Genomic DNA, 20,979 nt, shown 5'->3' with positions numbered 1-20,979 from the left:
TGGAATCCACACCCCCACCTGCTAGAGGCACCTCTCCGGAAGGTGTCCAGACAAAACCAAAGGGCTTGTCGTCTGCTTTCCTGCTGTTTCTAGAATATACTCAGCTCTCAATTAACATAAACCTCATTTGGTTTAGAAAACATCCATTTGGTTTAGAAGTCAGTGTTGTTTTCAAATTGCATCTCTAGCAAACGATTTTTTTTTTAGGTCTAATAAGCACTGAATAGATTGTATTAGGTTAAAAGCAATTGATTCCCAATAAATAAATTCTGCCAAGTTATGCTCGGGAGTGTGAAGCAACAGTGTTTATTGGTTCTTATCTACGATCATCAAAACCTGTTCCTCTCCTCTCCTTCCCTCTTTCCCTGCCTTCCTTTTTCTTTCCTTCTGTCCTCATACTTGACTTCACCTACTTGCTATTATGAGGAAAATATTAATTCCCTTTCTAATGTCTATATTCTAGCATGTCGCCTCATTAAATTCCCCTGGGTGTGCCCTTTTACAATTAGTGCTACCAAGTAAATAAACTTCAAAGGGACGTGTGTACACACACAGACACATGCACTCAGAGACACACACGTTCATTTGCATGCCAAGAAGAGCCCCCATTAAAGTCTATTAGCCCCCAAATGAGGAAATTCAGAGCTCTGAGCTCTGCACTGATTTTATCTCATGGTGTGGAGAGAGTTTACAAATAACTCTTAAGGTAAAATGCCATTTTTTTCCCCTGTATGTAAAGTTAATATTAATGTTGTGTAGAAGGAATGCGGCTCTATTTCTTTTTGAGTGGCATTTTCTCATTGTCACTCTCCAACCCTATTCTTAGAGACCCTTAGGTGGTATTGTGTGTATTCTTTTGTAGAATAATGAAATGTTTATATTACACAGTCCCATTGTAAGATCAATCCACCCCTGCTGGGGGATTCATAAACATCATCTGCAGGTGGTCCTGGTGTGTCATCCCCCAGAAGAGGAGCTTTCATTTCAGGAAACAACCTTGCTGAGGTCCCACACAGCCCAGGACACCAGACCCAGTGCTGCAGCCCACGGCTTCCCGAAGCCCAAACAGTAACTGATGGTGTTGTCACCAATCTTGGCTCTGAAACTAGCATGTTTTAAATTCCTGCTTCTCCAAGCCTCCTGGGCATGTGCTCTGTAGCCAAAAAGAGCTGGTAATTACACGTGGCTTCTGAGGAACGAGGGTCCAGGCGCTTATCTGGGAAGGGAGATTGGTCCAGACCTTCAGCCTCTGGGCCCCATTCCTCTTCTCATTCTTCAGCGTAGCAACTTGTTCTTAAAGCAGAGGCTGATTTCTGTCTGCATCTCTCAAGCGGCACCTTTGTTTAGCCACTAAGTTTTCTCAAACTGGAAATCCATATGACGAAGTATAATTTTATGGTCTCCTATCATATTTGGTTTTTCTAGAAACATTCAAGAGCTTGTTCCTTCTCACTTAGACAATATTACTGTCATCAAGGTGTGTCTTCTCCTAGTTCCAGAACCACTTCCTGAATTTAAAATGCTCTTCTGGACATTTTTTTTTTTTCCAGATAATGGCAAAGAAAATTGGTCCAAAGAAAGTGGAAAATTGTCAGAGGGCAGTCACCACAATTTTTTTTTCTTCTGTTTTCACATCTGTTCAATCAATATCAGCTCCTGGCCTCAAGGCAGTGTGACCTAGAGGCAAGAGCCCTAGGAAGCTGGGGATCAGAGGACAGCATCTCATGCTGCCTTTAACCAGGGGCACCGTCTCACAGCAAACCCTTAACCTCTCTGGGTCAGGGAGCTCCTTTTTCAACAAAACAGGTTGGTCTAGATGGGTTCTCCTGTGCTTTCCAACTCTCTACTTTCTATTATTCTGAACTTCATGCCTCATTGTATCTGTGCGCCTCTGGTAGAGTTGGCATAAACCCAAGCATATGTTATTGGCTTAGAGAAAGAAAACATTTCTGGGTCTGTGAAATCATAGGCTTTGCTTGACGAAGCTTCGAGGTGTGCGGGCTCTCTTAGTGCAGCGCAACAAGCCATCAGCCGGCAGAAAGCTATTTCTGTAGCGGAGTGTTAAAAGACTGGTATTCTTCAGTGAAGAATAATCTGCTGAGGGCAATGTGTTTTTATTCCCTCTGGGATTTATCTGTCAACGGGCAGATGGGAGAAGAAGCAATAAACTATGAGCTTGCATATGTCAAGGCTTTGATTCTAGGGGGTGACTTCCAGGCCCTGCTTGAGTAGGAGACATTGTCAGGGAAGAAAATTTTGGACTCTCACTGTTACTTCCTGATCTCAGAACACAAAGCCTAGTTTTTGCTGAGTCTTTGAGGAAACTCCATGAGCACTCGGCTTCTCTCTCGTGTTTTCTGAAACCAGAAGTAGAGAGAAAGAGGCAGCTGAGCCCTACAGAACCAACCAACTGTGGAGACCAGCAGCGAACCCAGCGTGTTTGTCATTGGTTTGTGAATCTTATACGCTGTTCTCTTTGGGATACCTATTTCTCCTGGGTCTTTACATGGTCCTGGATCAAGAAACACCTTTTAACAACTCCCTTCAGACCCTGCACTCCCGTGCATTCAGAGGCCTCCTTGGCTTAGCGTGGTGGCAACCCCAGGGTCCAGGTGATTCTGTTGAAGATCTGAGAACAGAGCTTGCTTCTTCCTGCCACCCAGTTTGATTGGACCTTCTCCAGACTTCTGGGTGCATTTCCAGAGCATTTACACAAGGAATTATGTAGGGGTCATTGTGACAATGGTTGTTTGTGGCTTCTTTGTATAAACCTTCTGTATAGAAATTCCAGTTGATCAAACAGATAAACGGAGAGGTGATCAGTCACATTGCTAGATGACTTTTCTCTACCTAGGAAAGGATTCTTTATATATTTAAATAGGAACTCCTGTCCCCATTTCTTCCTGGCTCTGCCTTGCTCTTATCTTGACTGGTCCAGACATTTCCTGGCATCCAGGGCATCAGGGAGGCTGTAAGTCTGTGTTTGATGGTAGCTGTCCTTCTTCAAACTGCTGGCTGGAAGGCAGCGGTCCCTGCTGGGTCCCAGAGAGCTAGGAGTGCAGCTTGGAGAAGTCGGCTCTCTCATCGTGAGTCTTCCAGAAGAGAATAGTAGAGGACAGCAAGGACAAAGGGCGTGACCAGGAGACACATGGCTTGGGGGAAAGAGCACTGGCATGTACATCAGGAGGCTGGACACCAATCTGCTTCTGCCACCAGTTCTCAGGGCAACTGTAGGCTAATGAGGTCACCTCTAGGGGCTTTCTGTTTCTTCCCCCGTGAACTGAATACTGAATGATTTCTAAGGCAACTCTCAGCACAAATATATTATGATGCTTTAGCGTGAGAGAGGTGGGATTTGATGTGGGGAGGGCAGAGCTGAAACAAGCATTTGAAACTGACACTTCGGGCCGTGGTCGTTTAGAGATCTGTTAGAAGGGAAGACAGACATCTTTAGAAATAGATATCAATGAAGGGGAACTCTACTTGATCTATTAAACATCATGAATGTCCATCTGGCCCACTACTGGATCTTGAGGTTTTTGAGGGCAGGGACTCAGCCTGGCTTACTCACTGCTAGGTCACTATCACTAAGAACTGCACCTGACATGATACCCTCAATAAACAATTATTAAATGAATGAATGAGATGACAGTGGTTGCCGTTGCTTCTGCTGTCAAACACAGACTCCATTTCCTGTTTTCCAGGGTCCTGCCTACCCATCTGAGGACATGTCTGCTCATCACCCATGTGCATTCTGTCACAGTGGGACCTGTGTGTGTTCCCTGCTCATTGTCGTTTCCATGGTTTTGCTGATTCTATGCGATTCTTCCAGGCCACTCCAAGTTCCACCTCTTCCACGAAGCCCTCCTTGATTGCTGGGCCCTGGTTGAACTCCTTATTAGTAACACCCAGGTTAGTCCTACTTAATTCTTACCTGCAGCCAAAGTGGACTTAGCATCTCCTTGCATGCCTGGTAAAGTCAAGGGTTTTCAGCCAGGGCCTGTGTATAAAGCAGAAGCAGCACAGAGTCTGGTTTGAAGCTTAGTGCTTGGGTTCAGACAGTTGTGGGTTACAATCCCTTCTACACATGTTCTCTGTGGAAACCATTTGGTTCTCTGTGCTTGGAACTCGCCTGCAACGGGACAAAGCCATCTCACCTAGACTGTTGTTATGAAGATTGAATTAGGTGATTCTGAGAGGCATTTATGCGTCCTCCCTGAGTAACAATCCATGAAAAGTGGGCGTCATTGCTGAAGCTCAAGGAAGAAATATGAAATTTGATTATATCCTTATTCACGGCATTGGGTCACCAACTCAGCACTTTTTATGAAAGTAGCATCTGACCTGGCAAAGGCTGTGTCATCTTATTACCTCAGAAAGACAAATTTACGGGGTCAGACGATGGATGGCTTGTAGATTTCTCAATGGGCTGGAAGGAAGGAGAGAAAAAGAGAGACAGGAGAGAGTACACATTTAATTCTGCTTCCCCTAGGGTGATATTTCCTTCCTCCCCTTCCAGGGTTCTCAAAAAGGCATTCTAGGAAGTCCTGTAAAATACATGCTCATAAAAATCTCATAATTTCCACAAATTGTTGAGAATTTAAAACTCGGTTGGGAGTTTGCTGTTTCAGCCTGAGACACCGGGGTCACGTTTCAGTGCCTGCAGTCTTGAGACAGTACCAGGCATCTGGGATGAAGCTGAGGAAAGAAGATGTGGGGGCCCTGCTGGCCTGCTCCTTCTCTCGAAAGACGCTTACCGGCTGCTGGTGTGTCACAGGGCTTTAGGATTTGGAAAAACAGAGGGATTTAAAAGAAGATAGAATGGTCAGAATTTCGAGAACTGTGTGCTGAAGTGCCATCTTTAGGGTGCTCATAACACGGCCTTACAACATTAGAGGTGCTGGAATCATGGAAGAGGCATCTGGACTCTGTAATGTCCTTCCCCCTGGAAAATCTGCTCCAGAAGTGGGGGATTGGGAGCTGTCAACATATGAGCCATCTTTTGCTCCGTTCAAGATGGTAGGGGCATTCTCAACATGCCCCTCACTCTGATTCTGCCTCACTTTTATTTTAGAATTTTCCACTGCCTTTTCTGGAATGTGCTTTTTCAACCCTCAAAATCTGTAGAGAAGAAATAAGCAGAAACCGAAATGGCTTTCTGGTGTTCTCCATGCTCTCAGCTTACTGGAAAATCGAGCCGCAGGCTCGAGGCTGGACTTTAAGGCAGAGCACTGCAATTATAGTGCTATGGCCTTGGCTTCCTTTCTCATCACCCAGGTACAGTCCTGCAGTCCTCAGAGGATGCCAGTCCCACACAGGGGGATCCTTCTCCATAGGAAAACCGAGGAACAATGCAGGTTCGAGGTGCACAGTGGCTAAGCACACTCAGTCCTCAAGATCTTTCCTCTCAAATGCTAATGCTACCTTCAGATGGGCTGCTGCCTGCTACCATTTCAACATTGAGTCCTTTAAGATGCCATCAGAGAGAGGGGAAGCAAGAGGCCAAGAAAAATGAAAGGTAAGCACAAGACCAGTAGAATGAGTGGGGAGATCTGTCTGTCTGTCTGTCTGTTTGTTTGTTTGAAGTGTCTTCTGCTTGACTGCAGTTACTGTTCTTCAAGTGAGGGCGAAGCGCTTCTCTTCTCCTCTCTGATAGCTCTGCAGCTCTCTAAGTAAACTCTTTGACAAACACATCGCAGCAGCGAGTGGAAACATGTCTGAGACGCTGCAGCATAGCCCGGCTGGTTCTGTTCTTAGCAGTATTTGCTAAGTTCCATCCATTAGAATGTTTTTAAACAATGGGACGCATGTCATCTTGATTTGACAGGATAATCCTGAGTTTATAGAATTTCATCACAGTGTGTGAAACTGGTTTTTAACTTCACTATACTGGCCCTCAGCGGTGGAGTCAACTGGGCACTGAATAGAAAAATCTCCCTCCTCCGTGTTGTCCCCAGCCCACCACATTTCGCCCTAAGCTCTGCCCTGCACCAACACCAGCCTTCTTCTGGAGTTTGGCAGCTGTGGCAACTGCTGGCTGTCTCTCAACCACTTCACAATATGTATCAATGTATTCTACAAATCATTGTATTTGCCAAGCATTCTACTACTACACAGTTCTGATTCAACTGACGTGTATCTTAGAGGTCAATATATTTTCTTTTTCCCTTAGCTTGGCTAGGACTCCATAGGAAACAGCTATTTGAGTGATGATATATAGGAGAAGGATAGTACTGTATTTAACTGTCTGTTAATATCAGAGAAGATGAATATTTTTCACCTCCCTGTACATAGCTATGCATAAGCTTGGTATTCATTTATGAACAATGTAGCATTTTCAAAGGCACAACTGATTTACTTACATTAAGTCAATATAAATAAATTATGTTAGTAGATTGCGAATTTTGAAAGTTGTAATCAACATCAAAAATGAAATGTCTTGGTTGTCCAACTTAAATTATATAATGCAATTTCAACACAGTAAAAAAAAAATCACCTAGCGTAATAGTGAGAGTTTGAATCATTATTAGTTAGATTCTTGTTTGTATTAATTAAGAATTTCACAGACATTGTTTGTAAGTGAAAAAGATATTTTAAATAAGTATTTAGAACAATTTTTGTTTTGTGATCCTTCATGCTGCCTGTTGAATGAGTTAAGCAAAAAAGAATTACAAATGGTTTAAACAGAAAAGGATTGGCAAATAAATAAACTAGAGTTGTGCTGGAGAAAAGTGCAAAACCCTTGACTCATTTTAAAGATATTTTAAATAAAATATTAGTGATCATTTAAATTAATAAACAGTTCTAAGTTTAAAAAAATCAGGAAAACTTTAATTACATTGAAAATTACCAATGTGTCCTGTGTTCTACCAAAGTTTAGAAAATTCTATTTACAATTAGATGACCTTGGAGATTGAGATTAAAAAGGTGAGTTAGTTCCCAGTCCATATTTAACATTTTTTTTTGTACAGAATCCCATTATTATTTTCTCCCTTAGAAAAAATTAGAAGCTAAGTTATGCTATGTTTAGGACAGATATGACTCTGTTTTGGCAGGTAATGGATGTCAGGAATGATTTTCTAATGGCTAGTACAATGTTTTGGGGTTTTTTATTTTTTAATATTATTTTGTAATTGACAAATAACAATTGTACAACAGCACAATGTTTGGTTGTGATTTCTACTACTGTCAAATGTTGTCTTCTGGTGACTAGACCTTTCGCTTTTTGACTGTGTTTAAGCTGGAAGCCCTAAAGCCACTGCAGGGTCAAGCGTCCCCAGTGCAGTGATGGTCATGGGGCCGTCACTACCCACTGAAAGCTGGGAGAGGACAGCCCTGGCGGGGTCTGCAGTGATGGTCACAGGGCCGTCACTACCCACTGAAAGCTGGGAGAGGACAGCCCTGGCGGGGTCAACTCCCCCCCGATGCAGTGATGGTCACGGGGCCGTCACTACCCACTGAAAGCTGGGGGAAGACAGCCCTGGCGGGGCCAAGGAGCTTGCAGTGTCCCATCAACCCTCCTGGAGAGATGCCTGAGACCCGGTTTTACCTATGAGTCTGGCCTCAGGACAGGAAAGATGGGGACACGCACAGCTGAGGCAAGAGCCATGACAGGGCATCTGCTGTCAGCCACATCCACCCCAGAGGGAAGCATGCCCTTACCCCAGAGGTGAGGACACAGAGATCCAGAGGCGGCGCTGGTGCCCTTCACTGGGGCCACACCACAGGGCCTTTCCTTCCTTTGTCAACCTTGCTCTGTGGGCCAGGGGAGCTCACTCAACCTCACTCTCTTTAAACCCTTCATGCCAACCCAGAATCTGGCTCTGCTCATCCTTGCTACGCTAGAGTGGGCTTTACTGTTACTCAGAGGCTGACAAAAATACTTGAGAAGAGTCACTTCCAGCACGACAGAAGGAGGAGGCTGACAAATCATCTTACCTAAAAGCAACTATTATGCCGGACAAAAGTGTCAAAATAATCCTTATGGCACTCCCGAAAATGGCCAAGTCTCTGGCTCAGCTCTGGCACTGAAGGTGGTCAGCCCAGACAAGGCAGGCACTGCAGAGGGGCTCACTGATTCTGAGTGTGGTCGGTGAAAGTGGTGGTCCTGGGGGCAAGCAGACAGGGAAGGTGGCAGCTCCACCACCTGGGGCCGTGGTCAGTCACATTCAGGCAAGCAGCAGGCTGACAGGTCCTTCCTTCCTGCCTGCCTTCCTTCCTTCCTTTTTTCCTTCCTTCCTTTTTTCCTTCCTTCCTTTTTTCCCTCCTTCCTTCCTTCCTTCCTCCTTTCTTCCTTCCTCCCTCCCTTTACATTACAGGAGTTAAGAGTAAACCATACTCCGGGCAACCATCACCCCAAAAGGGAGACAACCAGACCTTCTGTGCCTCCCAATGAAAGTCCACATTCAACACCACCTACGAAGGATTCTTACCAAAGACACCAAAACTGAACTCAGGCAACCCTCCAGATATAACTACCAATTTGCAGAAAATAAAAGGGATAGAAGAACACAAAGATGCAATCAGCAAAATTCAGACAGGACAAGCAATATTTTTTTCAAGAAGAAGAAGAAAATTGAGGGAGTCTGGAAGAGATGTAGAGTAAACTGGTAGAGTGAGACACTTAAGGGATGCATGAGTTCAGAACAAAGTGTAGACCTCGTTGGGATCCCAGTTCAGGCAAGCAAATCTTAAAATGTTCATGAGACTGTTGGAGGAAGGCAAACACAGATAGCATAGGTGTTGACATTAAAGAAATCTTAATTTTCTGTGTGTGGTGACGGTATTGCGGTTATTTTTAAAAGGGAGTCGTCCATGCCTTTTGATGTTATATATTTTTTTAATTACAGATTAACATGATTTTCCAAATGTGCTTCAAAATAATTCACGGGAGTAAGTGAGCTCAGGAATGCAAAATAATAAATTTAGCTACAAGGCGTTTATTGTTGAAGGCAGGCAATGGGCACGTGGGAATTTTTAATATAATTCTCTGCACTTTTGTTCCTGTTAGGAACTTTCCATAATAGAAATTAAAAGAAGAGATGAGGTAGGACAACTGGGATAAGCAGAAGACAAGGGTGGACCCACAGCCTCTCCTCCACAGATTCTGCAGGGCCAGGGTGAGCGTCAGTGCCCTCAGTGCCTGCTCTGAGGCTGGCGTGGCTGGCTTCACTGCCTTCCTGTCTGGCTTCACTGCCTTCCTGTCTGGCTTCACTGCCTTCCTGTCTGGCTTCACTGCCTTCCTGTCTGAGTGCAGCAAGAGGTGGAGGGAGGACTGGCGCAACTTCTGCAGGGGACAATGCTTTGGACACAGCAGTCGTGCAGAGCCCAGTGGGCCGTGTGGGGACAGAGGAGTGTGGGTGTCAAAAAAGGAGACCACCTTTCCATTCTCTTGGGATCCTTCTTCACTGGAAGATTTGGGGCAATGTGCACCGCCTAACCTCCCTCCACTTTCATGTCCTCATGGAGAAAAGGGTTCCTTCCCCCATTCACAGGTTTGTGGTGGTGATCACGGTGGTTTAATGCACTAGTTTGCTTTCCTGATAGGAGGACATAACGGTAGAAGGTGAGAAGGGCAATTCTACCATTTGGTAAGAAAAAATGAAGAAAGTGGGCAACAGAGGCAGTTGTATGAAAAATAAGAACTACTAAATAATCCACAGCCAATTTGCTGTGGTATCCAACTGCTATCTCCAAGACAAGCACCCAAAAGCCACCAGGAGGCCAAACCCCTGATTTGCTTTCATTGGAAATTTTTTTTTTTTTTTTTTTGAGACAGAGTCTCCCTCTGTCGCCCAGGCTGGAGTGCAGTGGTATGATCTTGGCTCACTGCAACCTCTGCCTCCCGAGTTCAAGTGATTCTCCTGCCTCAGCCTCCCAAGTAGCTGGGATTACAGGTGTGTGCCACAACGCCTGGCTAATTTTTTGTATTTGTAGTAGAAACAGGGTTTCACCATGTTGGTTGGCCAGGCTGGTCTCAAACTCCTGACCCCAGGTGATCTGTCTGCCTCGGCCTCCCAAAGTGCTGGGATTACAGGCATGAGCCACCTTGCCCAGCCTTTCATTAGAATTTTTCTAAGAACTGACATTACTTTCAAGTCTTCCGTAATCAAAACTAAAATAACTTTTAGAATAAGGGCAAATTGCCTCCAATAGGGCCTGGATGAGATGATGGAATGGGGTAGGGAAAGAAGAGAGAAGCTGGGCCTCCAGGAGACCCTCGGCTCAGGACTGAGGAGTGTCAGGCCCCGGTGTGTGTGTGGTGTGTGTGCCGGGGGTGTGGAGGGTTGCGTATGTGAGGGTGGGGATTGCAGGTACAGTGTGTGTTCTATGTGTGTCGCATATGCAGGTGTTGCATGTGTGTGTTGGGTTGTTTGTGAGAATTGGGTGTGGGTGCATGTTGGGTGTGTGGAGGGTTTACTTTTGGGTGCTGTGTGCTTGTTGGGTGTGTGTAGGATTGTTTTGGATGGTGTGTGTGTGAAAAATTTCTCTCTTTAAACTCAGACTTTGAATCCTGGAGGTTTTGCTCATAGGTCCCTGGGATTCTAGGAGAAAGGGTATTTTCTTAGGAGAAGCCACATCACTGGACTCTTGAATTGCAATCCAGTACAGCCAGATTCTATTAGCCTTTAGGGTAGAATGTGAAACTTCTCATTTATCTTAAGCACTGAGCCAAATAGATTTTAAAAAAAGAAAGAAAAAATCAACACAGATGTTCAGAAATGGGTCATGAGACAGGGCCAAAAGAGAAGCCTCTCAGATCTTGGGAACTATGAGTCACTTAAAAGGACTCTAGTCCTGGGAGAAATGATACCTACCCTTAAAAAGATTCCCAGTTCACTTTCTGTGGGCTGGAGCATTTTTCAGGCATCCCAGAATTGTTGTTCTTTGTTTTTTGTTTTTTGGGGGACAGAATCTCGCTCTCTCACCCAGGCTGTAGTGCAGTGGTGCAATCTCAGCTCATTGCAACCTCTGCCTCCCAGGTTCAAGAGATTCTCCTGCCTCCTGAATAGCTGGGATTACAGGCGGCTGCCATCACACCTGGCTAATTTTTGTATTTTTAGTAGAGACGGGGTTTCACCATGTTGGCCAGGCTGGTCTCGAACTCCTGACCTCAGGTGATCCTCCCGCCTTGGCCTCCCAAAGGGCTGGGATTACAGCCATGAGCCACCACGCCTAGCCTGAGAATTGTTTTTTTGGCCATAAAATTTCTAAGAAACTATGTGGGGGAAAAACACTTGAATAGAACTTAAATGATAAAAATAATAATATTTATGATTTATAGTGAGTATTTTAATGCTAAATTGTGTTGATGTGAACAGTTTTTTTTTTTAACAACTCATTGATTCATCCATTCATTCACTCGGCAAACATTTCTTTAGCATTTACACTGGGCAGACGGCGTGGCACAGACAGTAAGACACAGCCCATGTCAGGGTCACACTCATAATTCTCTCACCGGACATTTGCTCCCTTCTCTGTGCTAGCTGCCGGGGATGTGGCAGGGATAAGACAAAGTCTGTCTCTGCCCTCATAGAGCTGGCATTCTAGCAGGGAATTCAGACACCAAGTTATTAAGTCCCATGAGGAGAAATCGGGGGGTCAAGGAAGGATTCTTGGAGAAAGTGACAAGCCATCTGCAATCCTGTGGATGTTAGCTAGGCAAAGCAAAGGCTCCTGGGAGGGGAGAGAGAGGGAGGAGGCGATTGTAAATTCAGCAACATCCTGCGGTGATGCTGAGGTGGCTGTGAGTGGGAGAAGTGGGGTGTGTTTGCAGAACTGAAGGAAGGCTCTTGTGTCTGGACCCCAGAGGTGTTGGGGAGAGTTGGGTGGGAGAGGCTGGGGAGGTAGGTGGAGCAAGGTCAGGCGGAGTCTTGGAGGTCATCTTTTGTATTCCATCTATGCTGTGATCAAAAGGATATGGTGATGTGCTTTTGTTTCAGGCCATCAGGATAAATGGTATGGAAGGACATCCCCAAGTCTACTGTCTCCATAGCACTGGGCAACAAGCCTGCCTTTGGTTGGGCCTCCAGGTCACAGCTCATTCTGAAATGAAATGAAATCTCTTAAAGCCTGTGTTTGCATTTTGGGTTGAAAGGGGAGAATCAGCTATGAAAGTACAATGTAAAAAGGAGGAAATATGCCGGGCGCGGTGGCTCATGCCTGTAATCCCAGCACTTTGGGAGGCCAAGGCAGGTGTATCACGAGATCAGGAGTTCGAGACCAGCCTGGCCAACATGATGAAATCCCATCTCTACTAAAAGTACAAAAAAATTAACTGGGTATAGTGGCGGGTGCCTGTAATCCCAGCTACTCCAGAGGCTGAGGCAGGAGAATCACTTGAACTCAGGAGGCGGAGGTTGCAGTGAGCCGAAATAGTGCTACTGCACTCCAGCCTGGTGGCAAGACTGTCTCAAAAAAAAAAAAAAAAAAAGGAGGAAATACTGTTTCTGGTTTTGTTGTGTTGGTCATGATGGTAGTCATCGTTAGTGGACAACATTAGTGGTTTCATATGTTATCTAGTGAATTATAAAAGCACGTGGCTAATAGTGTTCATTTTTCATTCATTACAAACAATTTCTGCATCTGAAATAGAATGAACCTGACTACAGGTTTTTATTGAATCTTGCAGGACTTGACTGTGTGGGTTATACAATACATGAACCTAGTCCTGCATGTGTGTGCATAGATGTGGGATCCATTTTAGATTGCAGAGGGTGTGCAAACTGCTTCTTAATTCTCAAAGGGGTTAGAAAGGCTCAAGTGCATTTAAAAAATATACAGGCATACCTTATTTTACTGCAGTTCGCTTTATTGTGCTTTGCAGATATTGCGGGTTTTTTCACACTATTGTGTTTTTAAACATAATGCTATTACACACTTAAAGGACTACAGTATAGCATAAACATAACTCTTATATGCACTGGGAAACACCAAAATTTGTGTGACTTGCTTTATTGCAATATTTGCTTTATTGTGATGGTCTAGAACTGAACCCACAATATCCCCAAGGTGTTCTTGTAATAGAATTATAGGCCTTTGCGTTGAAAAAGACATTCTGTGGCCATGCTGTATTAGGCAATAAACTCAAAGGGCAGTAAACTCCAGACATAAATAAGGAAGTGTCACGCCACTTATGTCAGCAGTTGTGCATAAAAGGGAATCTTCTACTCAAATCCAGCTCTGACTGGATTTACTGGAGGCTCTGAGCATCTGGTAGGCATTTGATCTTGACCCATGGGAGGGTTCTGTGGACTTCAGAGTTTCTCTCCAAAGTCTTATGCCCATACACATGCCCTGTCTCCTGTAAGCATTTGGTTCATACTGCGTTTAGTATGTATGTGTAAATGTGTATTAAGTATGTTTATTCATACAAAATATAAACGACTTCACATATTAGGCTCTATGTGTATCTTTTTCAGAGAGGTCTCCTGGCTTTGCTGGCTCTTTATAACCAAATAACCACAGAGGCAGCAAACACCTTGACCTGGCAGATGGTCCTATGCCATTACTGCATATCTGAGCTCACAAAGGCCCTGGGATCAGCTCTGGAACCAGCCTCTACCTTTCCCCAGACCAGGGAAAAGGGGAAAGGTTAGAAACTTACACATTGTAAAGATATACCTGGCCGGGCACAGTGGCTCATACCTGTAATCCCAGCACTTTGGGAGGCCGAGGCGGGCGGATCACAAGGTCAGGAGTTTGAGACCAGTCTGGCCAACATGGTGAAACACCATCTCTACTAAAAATACGAAAAATTAGCCGGGCGTGATGGCAGGTTCCTGTAATCCCAGCTACTCTGGAGGTTGTGGCAGGAGAATTGGTTGAACCCGGGAGGCGGAGGTTGAGGTGAGCCACAACCATGCCACTGCACTCCAACCTGGGCAACAGAGCGAGACTCCATCTCAAAAAAAAAAGATACACTAAGGAGTGGAAATTAAAAATGTTTTGTACAGATTTGAGCACTTACAGTCCAAGACAACCAGTTGCCTAAAATCTGGGTGTTGCAGATAGAAATACTCTAAAGGGTTAGGATGGTTTCTATGGGTAACTCCTGAGCCTATGTTTCTAAGGAGATGATCTGTTGATTGTTAATGAGTCCTGTGAGTGCTTTAAAAAAGAAAAATGGCATCGTATTTGAGAGATCTAGACTAAAACTAATTGTCACACACTTCAGGAAATATGACAGAAGAAAAGGCTTTTAATTTTTTTTATTTTCTCATTATTGAAAAGGTCACTGATCAGTTGAGTACAGATGAAAGGTTCTTAGAGTAGATCAATGACCTGTTGTTAGTGAAATTCTTGGGGTCTGAATCTTAGCTATTTAGAGTTTTACATTATCATCTCTAAATGTTTTGTCTATTATAATAATGAATAACCAGCTGGGCGCGGTGGCTCACGCCTGTAATCCCAGCACTTTGGGAGGCCGAGGTGGGCGGATCACGAGGTCAGGAGATCGAGACCATCCTGGCTAAAACGGTGAAACCCCGTCTCTACTAAAAATACAAAAAATTAGCCGGGCGTGGTGGCGGGCGCCTGTAGTCCCAGCTACTCGGGAGTCTGAGGCAGGAGAACGGCGTGAACCTGGGAGGCAGTGCTTGCAGTGAGCTGAGATCGAGCCACTGGACTCCAGCCTGGGTGACAGAGGGAGACTCCATCTCAAAAAAATAAAAATAAAAAAAATAATAATAATGAATAACTAACAGACTAGAGTTTGTAGAACTTTTGATATACATTATTTCATATGATAGAGTTTAAAGTCAAAAGTAACCAGAGAAGTCTTTTAACTTGTACCTAAAACAATTTTGATAACCTATTGTGTTTATGGCAATTTCCTTTATTAATGTCTTCACTCTTTCTTGGGAATCACTACTGCAAAATAGTTAAAAGAATATCTCTAGTTTCACTAAGTAAAAAACCAACAAACCAATTGAAAAATTGTCAAAGGGTAGAATAGCTTATTTATAAAATATAATAAACAAGCCCTAAATGTATGAGAAGGTGTTCAACCTCATCCATAATAAGATAAATGTGAATTCAATGAGAATATCTTTTATCACCTATAAAATGGGCAAAAATTCAAAGTGTGACAGCACATTCTGCAGATGAGGCCATAAGAATAAATAGATGTTTACACAATCTGCAGGAAAATGTGCTAATTGAAGGGAAATCCAGGAATGTTACGAAATCATAAAAGCTGAAAAATCAAGAATCTTTCAACCTGGAAGTACCACCTCTGGAAATTTACCCAACAGATACACTTACACATAGGAAAAGATGAACATCAAGATCATTCATGACTGTACTGTGTGAATAGACAAGAACTGAAAGTGTCCATCAATCCTGAACTGGTTAAATCATGACACAGTCATGTGACAGAATATGCAGCATAAAAGAATGAGAAGGATTTGTATCCTGCTATGGAAAGAGCTATGAGATATATAAATAACAGAGAAAAAAAGGTGTGTAGAGCATACTACATTTTGTGGAAGGAAGGTAGAAGAAACAAAAAGCATATATTTGCATGTGCTTGCATTTTCATTAAAATCTCCAAAGGTATATTCCAGAAACTACTAAAAGTTGTCAACTGCGTATTAGAGTTGGGGTCAGGAGTGGGCAAAGAGAAAACAGGCAGGACCAGAGTAGAAGCAAGACTCCTTACAGCATGCCTTCTAGAATTTTTTTTTAAACCAGGTGATGTGTTACCTATGTTGAAAAGAAACTAAAGTCATTCAAAAATAAAAATGTGGGCTCCAGAATGAGCTTTCCTGGGTTCAGATCGAGTCCCTGTCACTTAGCGGATGTGTGGCCTCTTAGGCATCTTATGCCTCTTGTCATTTATTTCCTAATCTTTGAAATGGGAATAATAATAGTGCCTAAATTACGAATTTGGAATTCAAAGAGGATAGCACTTGAAAAGTATTTACAAGGGTGCCTGGCACCTATTAAGCATGTAATATAGGTTTGCCATCATTATTTCTAAGCCAGTGATTCACTGGGAGAGGCGACACATTGGATTTGAGGAGAAGTGCATTCTAAGAAGATTAGCATTTAGAACACCAGTTATTAGGTTAGAAAAAAATTAGAAATGAGTTTTATTAAGCAGAATAAATCTTGATCTTGAGAATTAAACTTGAACTATGATTTTAAGAGGAGGTATGTAAATATATTTTTCATTCAGAATAAAACTACAGTGCTTAAGACAAAGTGAGCAGTTACTGGATGAAGCTTTGCTAGCTAAAAGGCCTGAGGCTTGCTTAAACAACAGTAATAATACTATCTTTTGTTTTCACATTACTCCGTATCATCTTTTATTGTATATCATCTTACATGTATACACTGTCTCATTTACTTTCCTTAAGATATTCCACCCAGCTGTGTGAGTTGGCATTTTAAGTGCTTATTGGCAAATATGACAGTAAAATGAGAACAAGTCAGGGAAAGAAGTTTCCAATCTCTGTTTGTACAACCTTAAGCCAATCTCTACCACCTCAACGGGCGGCGTCCCTGCAGATGGTACAGAAGTAGAGATGGCAATAAATCTAAAAGCTGAGTAAGCACTATATAAGGAACATTCATTTAGCAATTCAGGATCTGCTTATTTTAATTTGATCTTGTACTGTGCCAAACACTGATGAAACCACGATGAGTAGAATATGGTCTGTACCTTCAGTAGCTCAGAGAGGGACTGGTGTGTCCACAGGTTACCATGGTGAGAAGCTCAGAACTGCAGTGCAGATATGTGGGAGGTACAGGGGTGGAGGAGGGAGGGTAAGGGTTTCACAGGTCAGCAAGACACTTGTTTGGTTCAGGTGAAAGATTTCCACCTTGGCAGGAAAGGAGCAAAGACTTTGGAATGTAGCTTTGAATCACTTTTGGGGCTTTATTAATTTTTGTGAGACTCAACTTCTTCATCTGTTAGATGGGCTGATAATTCAACTTTCAGAGAAGTTATGCAAATTAGAAATAATGTATAGGTAAAGCAGCTAGAACCGAGCCTGGTATACAGCAGATACTCAATGGACGGTAGCAGTAATGATGACTAGCCACTGGAATATAGGGTCCTTAGGGATGGGGATTTTTTTTTTTTTTTTTGAGACGGAGTCTCCCTCTGTCTCCCAGGCTGGAGTGCAGTGGCACAATCTCAGCTCACGGCAACCTCCGCCTCCTGGGTTCAAGAGATTCTCCTGTCTCAGCCTCCTGAGTAACTGGGATTACAGGTGCCCACCACCACACACGGCTAATTTTTGGTATTTTTAGTAGAAACGGGGTTTTGCCATGTTAGCCAGGTTGGTCGTGAGCTCCCTATCTCAGGTGGTCCGCCTGCCTCGGCTTCCCAAAGTGCTGGGATTACAGGCATGAGCCACCGCGCTTGGCCGAGGATGGGAATTTATTTGCTGGTTTTATTCACTTTTATATGCCTCAATGTTTCTAGAACAATGGCATTTAGTAAACATATGTTAAAATAAAAGGATGATGGAAGGAGACAATAGCAGAGAAAACAGCACATGTAAAGGAAATGCCCGCTTAGTCTGGAGGTAGCAGGGAAGTCACATGGTTGGGCACACACCTGTGCGTGTGTGCGCATGGGCTGGCACTCGTCGGGAGAGAGGCAAGGGCGGGGCAGCGAGGAGGTGTCTCTAAAGAAATTTGAACAGCAGGTCCTGCCATCAAGTCGATCTGATATTTTAAGAGACATCATCCATAACATCACTTTTTATAATCCCCAAATACTTGCTTCTGGAAGGAGAGAAGATCTGACAGGAGGTATTGGGATTTGGTTCTGTGATCTAAAAGAGCCATAAATCTTAGGTTCTTTTTAACTAGTGCAGCCCAGGATATAAACACTGTAACTGTATTTGGATTTAAGTTCCGCCTCTTCCTGTGAAGCGAGGAGCTGCTTTGCAGGGGAGTATGAAATGCACACAGGCAATCTGCATGTTTGGCGTTTTCAAGGTTCAGAGTTACCTGATAAACCAAAATACTTCAGGCCTCAGCTTCCTCAAGCTGCTAAACTCTGCCTGCCACAGCAAGTGTGGACAAGGTGATTTGAAGCCCCCTTTAACCAGGTCCCAAATGACCTAGGACATTTGGATGTGGAGGGTTGATCCTGAGTCTAGCTTTGACTAAACTTAGAAGAGAGAGACTGAAGGTAAGAAAAGTTAAGTTGTTCCTGCTTTTACAAACGCTTCTCAGGAAAGCCCTCTGGTTCCAGAAATGCTGTGGATAAGTAATCTGAAACCTCTCCAAATCCAGATATCTCTAAGCGCTAGGAAAATGTTAGCAAACATCCTTTTAAAACAATAACAGTTAATATATAGTGAGCACTTGTTAGATACTATACTAACTACTTTATGTGCTTTATTTTGCTTAATTCTCCATGGGCCAACAAGCAGAACTATTCAAAAAATGATCCTGAGATCTCAGTCTACATGATCTAGGAAATGAGCTGGCTGGAACTGGAGTTTCCCCGCCTCCTCGAAGGAGGATGTGCACCTAAACTCAGTTTCCCACAGGACCAGCCGCAAACATTCCCCAAGAGGAGAGCTGCCCCTCTCCCCAGGACCCATGTTCCCTGGGTGCCAGGCAGCTGGCCTTCCTCAGATGCCTTCTCAGCTCTGCTGGCATCTAGACCCCGACGGCCTGGCAATCGAGTGGTCCCCCTGTCTCCTTACTGGAAAGTGGTGTTCGTGTTCATCCTTCGAGGAGATAGGACACTCAGGTCAGGACTGCAGCCCACTGCATGGCAAAGAGCTTTGTCTTTGCATTGGTTCAGTTTTCCATAGGATTATGAGAAGATGGAGACCCCTATGCCTTTGGGGCCTGACTCCTAGTTTCTAAATTTCCCCAGTAAATGCCATTCCTTAGTTTGCACTATGTGGTGTTGTAGAATCTATCCCAGTGCCCATTGAGCCCCATCCTTGCAGCAAATGTATAAGTTAGGAATTACTATGTTTAGTTAGAGATGAGGAAGTTGAAGACACAGACAAGTTAGCTAGTAAGTGGTAGGATTTGAAACCCAGTCATCTGATTCCTGAGCCTGTGATCTCAGAGAGGCTGGTAAACTCAATGGATCTGGCAATTTATAAAGGTCTGAATGAGTGCTCAACTCTTCAAGGAAGCACCCATGTGGAAGTTCACATCTAAGCACAGGTTCCAATCTCAGCTGCAGCACGTAGCCTAGATTTAGTCTTCAGTGGTGCCTTTTACTTTCTCCTAAGTCTCAGGCTCATGGCACCTTGGGGCCAGCTCCATGGAGAAAATAAGCTGAGAAAAGGAAGGAAGCAACATGGCTGGGTCTACAGAGAAGACGCAAGCTTCACTCTCACTCACTGCATGTCCAGGACAAAGCATGGGAGACGGAAGCAAACATCTTTTTAAATGTGGAGCTGAGCTTGCAAAAAAGTATGGGCTGCTTCCGGGATCAGAATAGAAAAAGGAGCCCATAGGCTGAGGCAGGCTGGGGGTGGGTGGGTGGCATCCCAGGGACGTAGAGCTTGGGCTTGCAGCCGCTCAGCGTAAGCGAGGTGGGCGCTGAGAACCGTGCTTGAATCCTGCCTCTCACCAGGGCCATTAGGGATTGCTGTCTCAGTGAGCGAGCAGCATAAAGGAAACGCCTCCCATCAAACAGCTATGGTAACACTGGGCCTTTCTGCCTTTTCTGGACTGGGAGTGGACAAAAGTCTCCCCCGGGAATTCTCGTCAATGGCCCTGCAGCACGTGGAGGTGAACTATGCAGATTCAGAAGAGCTGGGAAGCTATATTCATAACAAGCTTAACATTATGGTAAAACATCATTATTAAGAATTTTTAAGGCACTAAACAATAAGAAAATAGGCAATTCTATTTTCTTTCAACCCTAGTAACATCATCTCAATGTATTTAAAGCAAAACTTGACAGGCTTACAAGGAGAAAATGGAAAAACTACTAACTTAGTTATCCCTAAATTATAATAAACTCTGTGAGGGAAGGCACCTCAAAGCTTTGCTCACTGTTTACTCCAAGGGGCTAGAACAGCAGGTGCTTGATTAATATTTGTTAAAGGAATTGGCAAATAATGCCAGAAAAAAAAAAAAGTCAAGGATTTTGTCCTGGCCCTTCTGGAGCCACTTAAGGTGGTTTGAAAGATGACAGAGTAAGTTCCCATTCCCAGGGGACGTGTCACCAGAGGCCAAGTGCCCCGTCACTGGAGGGTATCAATGGAGGCTGTGCAGTCCAGCCCTGGAGGGATTCATGTTGCCTCCTGGGATCTCTATAGAGGAAATTCAACCACCCAAAGGAACAAATTAGTTCTATGATCATGTGGCTTATTTGGATATGGAGTAATTCCTTCTTGGCGATGTCCCATGCTCAAGAGAGGGACAGTCAGTGACAATTTGGGCCTTCTGGGGTGTGTATGATCTGGCACACAGCACACTCCTAAGTGTGATGTTATACAATCTATCCCCTTCATTCATTAGCAATGAAAGGTTTTAGAGCACAGCAAGCGCATTTCTATGCTGTTTCTAGCTATGCAACTAACAAAGTTGACGCTATTAACTGTATATAGGCAATTCTGCATTCCCCTAGTAGAATACACACATTCTAGTCAAGCCCCCACGGGACGTTGCCTAAAATTGACCAAGAACTAGCCTGAATGTAAATCTCAATAACAAACAAGAATTAGGGCCAAGTGTGGTGGCTCACACCCGTAATCCCAGCACTTTGGGAGGCTGAGGCGGGTAGATCACGAGGTCAGGAGATCGAGACCATCCTGGCTAACACGGTGAAACCCCACCTCTACTAAAAACACAAAAAATTAGCCGGGCGTGGTGGTGGGCGCCTGTAGTTCCAGCTACTCAGGAGACTGAGGCAGGAGAATTGCTTGAACCTGGGAGGCAGAGATTGCGGTGAGCCGAGATTGCACCACTGCACTCCAGCCTGGGCAACAGAGTGAGATTCCATCCCCAGAAAAACAAAACAAGACAAAATACAAGAAT

General features: G+C 44.1%; 1 long non-coding RNA gene across 2 annotated transcripts in view, besides 2 other annotated features; it reads left to right on the top strand.

Annotated features, from left to right (window-relative positions):
* Positions 567-1,142: an enhancer, noted in NCBI's record as "NANOG hESC enhancer chr6:1104324-1104899 (GRCh37/hg19 assembly coordinates)". NCBI's record gives its function as "activates a minimal SCP1, AML or CMV promoter by ChIP-STARR-seq in naive and primed H9 embryonic stem cells {active_cell/tissue: H9 hESC(naive and primed)}" and the evidence as "EXISTENCE:reporter gene assay evidence [ECO:0000049][PMID:30033119]".
* Positions 3,588-4,787: an enhancer, noted in NCBI's record as "BRD4-independent group 4 enhancer chr6:1100679-1101878 (GRCh37/hg19 assembly coordinates)". NCBI's record gives its function as "activates an origin of replication core promoter dependent on BRD2, P300/CBP, MED14 and CDK7 cofactors, and independent of BRD4, by STARR-seq in HCT116 cells {active_cell/tissue: HCT116}" and the evidence as "EXISTENCE:reporter gene assay evidence [ECO:0000049][PMID:35650434]".
* The window catches only part of LINC01622 (long intergenic non-protein coding RNA 1622), a 140,330-nt gene continuing 123,249 nt past the window's right edge, over positions 3,899-20,979 (top strand). For both annotated transcript variants that reach the window (NR_027116.2, NR_027115.3), the window contains exon 1: positions 3,899-5,518. This is a non-coding gene — a long non-coding RNA (long intergenic non-protein coding RNA 1622). The remainder of the gene's footprint in view (positions 5,519-20,979) is intronic.

This window comes from Homo sapiens, chromosome 6, assembly GCF_000001405.40.
Source record: "Homo sapiens chromosome 6, GRCh38.p14 Primary Assembly".
Taxonomy (NCBI): domain Eukaryota; kingdom Metazoa; phylum Chordata; class Mammalia; order Primates; family Hominidae; genus Homo; species Homo sapiens.
Note: the sequence above shows the minus strand (reverse complement) of the source record. Positions and strands in the feature narration are given on the sequence as shown.